This window comes from Homo sapiens, chromosome 14 (genome assembly GCF_000001405.40).
Source record: "Homo sapiens chromosome 14, GRCh38.p14 Primary Assembly".
Classification (NCBI taxonomy): Eukaryota; Metazoa; Chordata; class Mammalia; order Primates; family Hominidae; genus Homo; species Homo sapiens.
The window spans coordinates 16,074,960-16,086,625 of record NC_000014.9 but is presented as its reverse complement, the minus strand read 5'-3'; the positions used below and the strand labels follow the sequence as shown (position 1 = coordinate 16,086,625).

Here is an 11,666-nt window from a genome sequence, read left to right as displayed (position 1 = left end):
TTCATCTGACAGAGTTCAAACTTTGTTTTGATTGAGTAGTTTGGAAACAGTCTTTTTGTAGGATCTGCAAAGGGATATTTCTGAGCCCATTGAGACCTATGGTGAAAGAAGAAATATCTTCACTTAAAAACTAGACAGAAGCCTTCTGAGAAGCTTCTTAGTGATGTGTGCTTTCGTCTCACAGATTTGAGCCTTTCTTTTGATTGAGCAGTTTGGAAACAGTCTTTTTGTAGAATCTGCAAAGGATATTTTGAGCGCTTTGAGGCCTATGGTGAAAAAGGACATAACTTCACATGAAATCTAAACAGAAGCTTTCTGAGAAACTTCTTTTTGATGAGTGCATACATCTCACAGAGATGAAACTTTCTTTTCATTGAGCAATTTGGAAACAGTCTTTTTATGAAATCTGCAAAGGGATATTTCTGTGAAGTTGGAGGCCTATGGTGAAAAAGAAATATCTTCAGATAAAATGTAGACAGAAGTATTCTGAGAAACTTTTTTGTGATTTATCCAGTCATCTCACAGAGTTGAACTTTTCTTTTGATGGAGCAGTCTGGAAACAATCCTTTTGTAGTATCTACAGAGAGATATGTGAGAGTGGTTTAAGGCCTATGGTGAAAAAGGAAATATCTTCACATAAAAACCAGCTAGAAGCATTCTGAGAAACTTCTTTGTGTTGTATGCATTCATCTCAAAGAGTTGAACCTTTCTTTAGATTGAGCAGTTTGGAAACAGTCCTTTTGTAGAATCTGCAAAGGGATATTTCTGAGCCCATTGAGGCCTATGGATGAAATAGGAAATATCTTCACATAAAAACTAGACAGAGGATTTCTGAGAAACTTCTTTGTGATATGTGCTTTCATCTCACAGAGTTGAACCATTCTTTTGGTTGAGCAGTTTGGAAACAGTCTTTTTGTAGGATCTGCAAAGGGATATTTCTGTTCCCATTGATGTCTATGGTGAAAAAGGACATATCTTCACATAAAAGCTAGACAGAAGATTTCTGATAAACTTCTTAGTGATGTGAGCTTTCATCTCACAGATTTGAACCTTTCTTTTGATTGAGAAGTTTGGAAACAGTCTTTTTGTACAATCTGCAAAGGATATTTTGAGCACTTTGGAGCCTATGGTGAAAAATGACATATCTTCACACGAAATCTAAACAGAAGCTTTCTGAGAAACTTCTTTTTGATGTGTGCATACATCTCACAGTGTTGAAAGTTTCATTTCATTGAGCAGTTTGGAAACAGTCTTTTTGTACAATCTGGAAAGGGATATTTCTGCGAAGTTGGAGGCCTATATCGAAAAAGAAATATCTTCACATAAAAACTAGACAGAAGTATTCTGAGAAACTTCTTTGAGATGTATCCTTTCATTTCACAGAGTTGAACCTTACTTTTGATGGAGCAGTTTGGAGACAGTCTTTTTGTAGTATCTGCAGAGAGATATCTGAGAGCAGTTTAAGGCCTACGGTGAAAAAGGAAATATCTTCACAAAAACCTAGGCAGAAGCATTCTGAGAAACTTCTTTGTGATGTATGCATTCATCTCAAAGAGGTGAAACTTTCTTTGGATTGAGCAGTTTGGAAACAGTCCTTTTGTAGAATCTGCAAAGGGATATTTCTCAGCCCATTGAGGCCTATGGTGAAATAGGAAATATCTTCCCATAAAAACCAGACAGAAGCTTTCTGAGAAACTTCTTTGAGATATGTGCTTTCATCTCACAGAGTTGAACCTTTCTTTTAGTTCAGCAGTTTGGAAACAGTCTTTATGTAGAATCTTCAAAAGGCTATTTGTGAGCCCTTTCTGGACTATGGTGAAACAGAAAATACCTTCACATAAAAATTAGACAGAAGCTTTCTGAGAAACTTCTTTATGATGTGTTCTTTCACCTCACAGAGTTGTAACTTTCCTTTGATTGAGCAGTTTGGAAACACTCTTTTTGTAGAATCTGCAAATGGATATTTGGAGTGCTTTGAGGCCTATGGTGAAAAAGGAAATATCTTCACATAAAAACTAGACAGAAGCATTCTGAGAAACTTATTTGTCCTGTGTGCATTCACCTCACAGAGCTGAACCTTTCTTTTGAAGGAGCAGATTGGAAACAGTCTGTTTGCAGTATCTGAGGAGGTATATGTGTGAATGGTTTAATGCCTATGGTAAAAAAGGAAATATCGTCACATAAAAACTAGACAGAAGCATTCTGAGAAACTTCTTTGTGACGTGTGCTTTCCTCTGAGAGAGTTGAACCATTCTGTTGATTGAGCAGTTTGGAAACAGTCTTTTTCAATTATCTGCAGAGGGATATTTGTCAGCGATTTGAGGCCTAAGGTGGAAAAGGAAATATCTTCACATGAAAGCTAGACAGAAGCATTCTGAGAAATTTCCTTGTTATGTGTCCATTCGTCTCACAGGGATGAACCTTTCTTTTGATTGAGCGATTCAGAAACAGTATTTTTAAAATCTGCAATGGGATATTTGTGAGCCCTTTGTGGTCTATGATGAAGTAGGAAATATCTTCACATAAAAACTACACAGAAGCTTTCTTAGAAACTTCTTTTATATGTGTGCATTCATCTCACAGAGTTGAACTTTTTTATGATGAAGCAGTTTGGAAACAGTCTTTTTGTAGAATCTGCAAATGGATATTAAGAAAACTTCAGGCCTTTGGTGAAAATGAAATATCTTCACATGAAAACTAGAAGGAATATTTTTGAGTAAACACTTTATGTTGTTTGCATTCATATCACAGATTTGAAATTTTCTTTTAATTGAGCAGTTTGGAGACCGTCTTTTTGTAGAATCTGCAAAGGGATATTTCTGATAGGTTTTAGGCTTACAGTGAAAAAGAAATATTTTCACATAAAAGCTAGACAGAAGCATTCTGAGAAACTTCTTTTTATGTGTGCATTCTTCTCACAGATGGGAACCTTTCTTTTCATTGAGCATTTCAGGAACAGTGTTTTTGTAGAATCTGCAGAGGGACATTTCTGACCCCTTTGAGGCCTAAAGAGGAAATAGGAAAAATCTTCACATAAAAACTAGACAGAAGTATTCTGAGAAACTTTGATGTGTTATGTGCTTTCATCTCACAGAGTTGAACGTTTCTTTAGATTGAGCAGATTGGAAACAGTCTTTTCAGAGGATCTGCAAATGGATATCTGGAGAGCTTTGAGACCTATGGTGCAAAAGGAAATATCTTCATATAAAACTAGACACAAGCATTCTGAGAAACTTCTTTGTGATGTGTGCATTCAACTCAAAGAGTTGAACATTTCTTTTGATTGAGTAGTTTGGAAACACTCTTTTTGTAGAATCTGCAAGTGGATATTTGGAGCGCTTTGAGGACTATAGTGGAAAAAGAAATATCTTCACATAAAAACTAGACAGAAGCATTCTGAGAAACTTCTTTGTGATGTGTGCATTCACCACAAAGAGTAGAACGTTTCTTTGGATTGAGCAGTTTGGAAACAGTCCTTTGTAGAATCTGTGAAGGGATATTTCTCAGCCCATTGATGCCTACAGATGAAATAGGAAATATTCTCACATAAAAACTAGACAGAGGATTTCTGAGAAACTTCTTTGTGATATGTGGTTTCATCTCACAGAGTTCAACCATTTTTTTTGTTGAGCAGTTTGGAAACACTCTTTTTGTAGAATCTGCAAGTGGATATTTGGAGCACATCGAGGCCTATGGTGGAAAACAAAATATTTTCACATAAAAATTAGACAGAAGCATTCTGAGAAACTTCTTTGTGATGTGTGCATTCAACTCACAGAGTTGAACCTTTCTTTTGATTCAGCAGTTTTGAAACCCTCTTTTTGTAAAATCTATCAGTGGTTCTTTGGAGCGCTTTGAGGCTTATGGTGGAAAAGGAAATATCTTCACATAAATAGTAGACAGAAACATTCTGAGAAACTTATTTGTGATGTGTGTATTCAACTCACAGAGTGGAACCCTTCTTTTGATTGAGCAGTTTTGAAACACTCCTTTTGTAGAATCTGCAAGTGGATATTTGGAGTGCTTTGTGGTCTTAAGTGGAAAAGGCAATATCTTCACATAAAAACTAGACAATAGAATTCTGAGAAACTTCTTTGTGATGTGTGCATTCATCTCACAGAGTTGAAGCTTTCTTTCAATTGAGCAGCTTTGAAACACTCTTTTTGTAGAATCTCCAATTGGATATTTGGAGCACTTTGATGCCTATGGTGGAAAAGGAAATATCTTCACATAAAAAATACACAGAAGCATTCTCACAAATTTGTTTTTGATGTGTGTATTCAACAAATAGAGTTGAACCTTTCTTTTGATTGAGCAGTTTTGAAACACACTTTTTTTAGGATCTGCAAGTGGATATTTGGAGCGTTTTGAGGCTTATGGTGGAAAAGGAAATATCTTCACATAAAAACTACAGAGAAGCATTCTGACAAAATTCTTAGTGCTGTGTCTGTTCAACTCACAGAGTTGAACCTTTCTTCTGATTGAGCAGTTTTGAAACACTCTTTTTTTAGAATTTGCAAGTGGATATTTCAAGCACTTTGTGGCCTCTGTTGGAAAAGGAAATATCTTCACATAAACTAGACAGAAGCATTCTGAGAAATTTCCTTGTGATGTGTGCCTTCATCGCACAGAGTTGAACCTTTCCTTTGATTAAGCAGTTTTGAAACACTCTTTTAGTGGAAAAGGAAATATCTTCACATAAAAACTAGACTGAAGCATTCTGAGAAACTTCTTTGTGATGTATGCATTCATCTCACAGAGTTGAACTTTCTTTTTGTTGAGCAGTTTTGAAACACTCTTTTGGTAGAATCTGCCATTGGATATTTGGAGTGCTGTGAGGCCTATGGTGGAAAAGGACATATCTTCACATAAGAACTATAAAGCAGGTTCTCTAAAAACAACCTTGTGATGTGTGCATTCATCTCACAGAGGTAAATGATTTTTCTCTGATCAGTCTGGAAACTCTGTTCTTGTACAATCTCAAAAGGGGTATTTTTGAGCACTTTGAGGCCTATTGTGACAAATGAAATATCTTCACATTCAAAGTATAAAGAAAGTTTCTGAGATACTTCTTTGTGATATGTGCATTCATCTCACAGATTTGAACCTCTCTTTTAATTCAGCCATTTGGACACAGTCTTTTTGAAGAATCTGCAAATGGATATTTGTGAGCACTTTGAGGCCTATGCAGGAAAATAAGTATCTTCACAGAAAACTGTAAAAAAGGTTTCTGAGAAACTGTTTTGTGATGTGTGTCTTCATCTCACAGAGGTAAAAGATTCTTTTCTTTGATCAGTTGGGAAACTCTGTTCTTGTAGAATCTGCTAAGGGACATTTGTGAGTGCCTAGAGCCTTATGGTAAAAAAGATATTGTCTTCACATAAAAACCAGACAGAAGCCTACTGAGAAACTCCTTGGTGATGTGTGCATTGATCTCACAGAACTGAAACTTTCTTTTGATTGATCAGTTTGGAAACGTCTTTTTGTGGAATCTGTAAAGGGATATTTCTGAGCACTTTGAGGCCTATGGTGAAAGAGAAATTATCTTCACATAAAAACTAGACTAAATATTTCTGAGAAACTGCTTTGTGATGTATGCATTCATCTCACAGAGTGCACCAATTCTTTGGATTGAGCAGTTGGGAAACCATCTTTTTGTAGAATCTGCAAAGGGTTTTGTGAGTGCTTTGAGGTCTATGGTTAAAAGGAAATATCTTCACATAAAAACTATAAAGAAGGTTTGTGAGAAACTTCTTTGTGATGTGTGCATTCATCTCACAGAGTTGAACCATTCCTTTGACTCAGCAGTTTGGAAACAGTCTTTTTTTAGGATCTGCAAAGGGATATTTTTGAGCACTTTGAGGCCCATGGTGAAAAAGGAAACACTTACACATAAAAACAAGATAGAAGCTTTCTAAGAATCATCTTTTTGATATGTGCGTTCATCCCACAGAGGTGAAACTTTCTTTTGATGAGCATTTTGGAAACAGTATTTTGTAGAATTTCCAAATGGTTATTAGTTCACGCTTTGTGTCCTATGTTGGAAAAGGAATTATCTTTACATAAAAACTAGAGAGAATATTTCTGAGAAACTGCTTTGTGATGTGTGCTTTCATCTCACAGAGGTAACCATTTCTTTTCATTGAACAGATTGGAAATTCTGTTCCTGTAAAATTTGCAAAGAGATATTTATCAGCACTTTGAAGCCTATGGTGAAAAAGGAATTATCTTCATGTAAAAACTAGACAGAAGCTTTCTGTGAAACATCTTGGAGATGTGAGAATTCATCTCACAGAGTTGAAACATTCTCTTGATTGGGCAGTTTGTAAACAGTATTTTGGTAGAATCTGCAAAGGGACAATTTTGAGCGCTTTGCATCCAGTGTTGAAAAAGGAAATACCTTCACATAAAAACTAGACAGAATGTTTCTGAGAAACTGCTTTGTGATATGTGCATTCATCTCCCAGATGTGTCTGTTTCTTTTCATTGAGAAGATTGGAAACTCTTTTCTGGTAAAATCTGCAAAGGGATATTTGTGAGCCCTTTAAGGCATATGGTGAAAAAGGAAATATCTTTACATAAAAACTACACAGAAGTTTCTGAGAAACATTGTGGCAATGTGAGCATTCATCTCACAGAGTTGAAACATTCTTTTGATTGAGCAGTGTGTAACAAGTCTTTTTGTGGAATCTGCAAAGGGATATTTGTGAATGCTTTGAGGCCTATGGTGAAAAAGGAAATATCTTCACATAAAACATAGAGAGAAGCTTTCTGAGAAACCTCTTTGTGGTGTGCATGCATCTCACAGAGTTGAACCTTTCTTTTGATTGAGCAATTTAGAAAAAGTATTTTTGTAGAATCTGTAAAGGGATATTTGTGAGCACTTTGAGGCCTATGGTGAAAAAGCAAGTGTCTTCACATAAAATCTAGACAGAAGCATTCTGAGAAACTTCTTTGTGATGTGTGCATTCATCACACAGAGTTGAACCTTTGTTTTGATTGAGCAGTTTGGAAACAGTCTTTTTGTAGAATCTGCAAATGGATATTTTGAGTGCTTTGAGGCCTATGGTGAAAAAGGAAATATATTCACATAAAAACTAGACTGAACGTTTCTGAGAAACTTCTTTGAGATGTGTGCATTCATCTCACAGTGTTCAAAAATTCTTTTTATTGAGCAGTTTGGAAACAGTCTTTTTGTAGAATCTGCAAAGGGATATTTGTGAGAGCTTTGAGGCCTATGGTGAAAAAGGAAATATCTTCAAAGAAAAACTATAAAGAAAGTTTCTGAGAAACTTCTTTGGATGTGTGCATTCATCTCACAGAGTGGAAACATTCTTTGGATCAAGCAGTTTGGAAACGTCTTTTTGTACAATCTGCAAAGGGATATTTAGGAGCGCATTGAGGCCTATGGTGAAAAAGGAAATATCTTCACATAAAAACTAGAAAGAAGCATTCTGAGAAGCTGCTTTAAGATATGTGTATTCATCTCGCAAAGGTAAATGTTACTTTTCATTGAGCAGTTTGTAAACACTGTTATTCTAGAATCTGCAAAGGGAAATTTTTGAGTGCTTTGAGACCCACGATGAAAAAGGAACTATCTTCACATAAAAACTAGTGAGAGGCTTTCTGAGAAACTACTTTCTGATGTGTGCATTCATCTAACAGAGTTGAAACTTTCTTTTGATTGAGCAGTTTGGAAATAGTCTTTTTGTAGTTTCTGCAAAGGTATATTTGGGAGTGAGTTGATGCCTATGTTCAAAAAGGAAATATCTTCACAAAAAAGCGAGAAGGAAGTTTTCTGAGAAACTTCTTTGTGATGTGCACATTCGTCTCACAGGGTTGAACTATTCTGTTTATTGAGCAGTTTGGAAACAGTCTTTTCATAGAATCTGCAAAGGGATATCTGGGAGCACATTGAGGCATATGGTGAAAAAGGAAATATCTTCACATAAAAGTAGAAAGAAATTTTCTGAGTAGTTCCTTTGTGACATGTGCATTCATCACACAGAAGTAAAAGTTTCTTCCCATTGAGCAGTTAGTTTTTATGTGAAGATATTTCCATTTTCAACATAGACCTCAAACCACCTACATATATCCCTTTGCAGATTCTACAAAAAGACTGTTTCCAAAAGGCTCAAAGAAATCTTCCACTCTGCAAGATGAATGCACACATCACAGAGAAGTTTCTCAGAAAGTTTCTGTCTAGTTTTTATTTGTTGATACTCCCTTTTTCACCATAGGCCTCAAACTACTCATAAATAACCCTTTGCATATTCTACAAAAAGACTGTTTCCAAACTACTGAATCAAAAGAAAGGTTCAAATCTGTGAGGTGAATGCACACATCACAAAAAAAGTTTCTCAGAAAGCTTCTATCTAGCTTTTATTTGAAGATGTTTCCTTTTTCAATATAGGCCTCAAAGTGCTCACAAATGTCCCTTTACGGATTTTACAAAAAGACTGTTGCACACTTCACAAAGAAGTTTCTCAGAAAGCTTCTGTCCAGTTTTTATGTGAAGATATTTCCTTTTTCACCGTAAGTCTCAACGCATTCAAATTATCACTTTGAAGATTCTACAAAAAACATTTTCCAACCTGCTCTATCTAAAAAAGGTTCAACTCTGTGAGAAGAATGCACACATCAAAAATAAATTTCTCAGAATGCTTCTGTCTAGTTTTTATGTGAAGATATTTCCTTTTTAACTTTTCTCCACAAACTGCTCACAAATATCCCTCTGCATATTCTACAAAAAGACTGTTTCCAAACTGCTCAATCAAAAGAAAGTTTCAACTCTGTGAGATGAATGCACAAATCACAAAGAAGTTTCTCAGAAAGCTTCTGTCTAGTTTTTATGTGAAGATACTTCCTTTTTCACCATAGGCCTCAAAGCCCACCAAATATCCTTTTGCAGATTCTACAAAAAGATTGTTTCCAAACTGCTCAATCAAAAGAAAGTTTCAACTCTGTAAGATGAACACACATATCACAAAGAAGTTACTCAGAAAGTTTCTGACAAGTTTTTATGTGAAGATATTTCCTATTTCACCATAGGCCTCAAAGGGCTCAAAAATATCCCATTTCAGCTTCTGCAAAAACACTGTTTGCAAACTGCTTAATGAAAACAAAAGTTAGTCTCTGTGAGATGAATGCACACGTCACAAAGAACTTTCTCAGAATGCTTCTGTCTAGTCTTTATGTGAAGATAGTTCCTTTTTCACCATAGGCCTCAAACTGCTCAAAAATATCCCTCTGTAGATCCTACAAAAAAAGTGTTTCCATACTGCTCAATCTAAAGAAACTTTCAACTCTGTGAGATGAATGCACACATCAGAAAGAAGTTTGTCAGGAAGCTTCTGTCTAGTTTTTATTCGAAGACACTTCCTATTGCACCCTAGGATCAAATTGCTCCAAATCTCCATTTGCATTTTCTACAAAAAAGACTGTTTCCAAACTGCTCAATCAAAAGAAAGGTTCAACTCTGTGAGATGAATGCACACATCACAAAGAAGTTTCTCAGAATGCTTCTGTCTAGTTTTTATGTGAACATATTTCCTTTTTCAACATAGGCCTTAAACTGCTTACAAATATCCCTCTGCAGATACTCAAAACAGACTGTTTCCAAACTGCTCAATCAAAATAAAGGTTCAACTCTGTGAGATGAATGCACACACAATACAGAAGTTTCTCAGAAGGCTTCTGTCTAGTTTTTATGTGAAGATATTTCCTATTTCAACAGAGGCATCATTGGGTTCAGAAATATCCTTTTGCAGGTTCTACAAAAGGATTGTTTCCAAACAGCTCAATGAAAAGAAAGGTTCAAATCCGTGTAATGAATGCACACATTACGAAATTTTCAGAATGCTTCTGTCTAGTTTTTATGTGATGATATTTCTTTAACTCCATAGGCCTCAAAATGCTCAGATATATACCACTGCAGATACTACAAAAAGACTGTTTCCAATCTGCTAAATCAAAAGAAAAGTTCTACTCTGTGAGATGAAAGAACACATCATAAGGAAGTTTCCCAGAATGCTTCTGTATAGTTTTCTGTGAAGATATTTCCTTTTTCACCATAGGCCACAAACCCCTCACAAATATTCCTATGCAGATAGTACAAAAAGACTGTTTCTTAATTGTGCATTCATAAGAAAGGTTCTACACTGTGAGAGTAATACACATGTCAGAAAGAAGTTTCTCAGAATGTTCCGTCTAGTTTTTATGTGAAGACATTTCCTATCTCACCTTAGTCCTCAAAAGGCTGACAAATATCCCTTTGCAGATTCTACAATAAGACTTTTTCCAAACTGATCAACGAAAAGAAAGGTTCAACTCTGATCAAGGAATGGACATCACACAAAGAAGTTTCTCAGAGTGCATCTGTCTAGTTATTATGTGAAGACATTTGTTTTTCACCATAGGCGTCAAACAGTTCAGAAATATCCCGTTGCAGATTGTACAAAAAGACTGTTTCCAAACTGCTCAATCAAAACAAAGGTTCGACACTGTGAGATGAATACACTCATCACAAAGACGTTTCTCAGAACGCTTCTGTTTAGTTTTTATGTGAAGATATTTCCTTTTTCACCATAGGCCTCAAAGCACTCCAAATATCCATTTGCAGACTCTACAAAAGGAGTGTTTCTAAACTGCTCAATCAAAAGAAAGATTCAACTCTGTGAGATGAATGCAAACATCATAAAGTAGTTTCTCAGAATGCTTCTGTCTAGTTTTTACGTGAAGATATTTCCTTTTTCACCATAGGCCTTAAACTGCTCACAAATATGCCTCTGCAGATACTACAAAAAGACTGTTTCCAAACTGCTCAATCTAAAGAAAGGTTCGACTCTGTGAGATGAAAGCACAAATCACAAAGAAGTTACTCAGAATGCTTCTTTCTAGTTTTTTTGTGGAGGTATTTCCTATTACACCATGGGCCTCAAAGGGCTCACAAGTATCCCTTTGCAGATTCTACAAAAGGACTGTTACAGAACTGCTCAATGAAAACTAAGTTTCAACTCTGTGAGATGAATGCACACCTAAAAAAGAAGTTTCTCAGCATGCTTCTGTCTAGTTTTTATGTGAAGATATTTCTTTTTCATCATAGGCCTCAAACCACTCAGAAATATCCCTATGCAGATTTTACAAAAAGACTGTTTCCAAACTGTTCAATGAAAAGAGATTATACACTGTAAGATGAAAGCACACATTAAAAAGAATTTTCTCAGAAAGTTTCTATCTAGTTTATATGTGAAGATATTTCCTCTTTCATCATAGGCCTCAAAGGGCTCAAAAATATCCCTTTTCAGATACTACAAACGGCCTCTTTCCAAACTGCTCAATCAAAAGAAAGTTTCAACTCTGTGAGATGAAAGCACACATCACAAATAAGTTTCTCAGAATGTTCGTCTAGTTGTTAAGTGAAGATATTTCCTATTTCACCATAGGCCATAAAGGTATCACAAATATCCCTTTGCAGAATCTACAAAAAGACTGTTTCCAAACAGCTCAATCAAAACAAAGGTTCAACTGTGTGAGATGAATGGACACATCACAAAGTAGTTTCTCAGAAAGCTTCTGTCTAGTTTTTATGGGAAGATATGTCTTTTTCACCATAAGCCTCAAATGGCTAAGAAATATCCCTTTACAGATTGTACAAAAAGACTGTT

General features: G+C 35.7%; 1 annotated feature.

Annotated features, from left to right (window-relative positions):
* Positions 1 to 11,666: part of a centromere (Linear centromere model derived predominantly from reads generated in PMID: 17803354. This region does not represent an actual centromere sequence, as long-range ordering of repeats and unmapped WGS contigs is not provided by the model. For details of model production, see http://arxiv.org/abs/1307.0035.) that runs on past both edges of the window.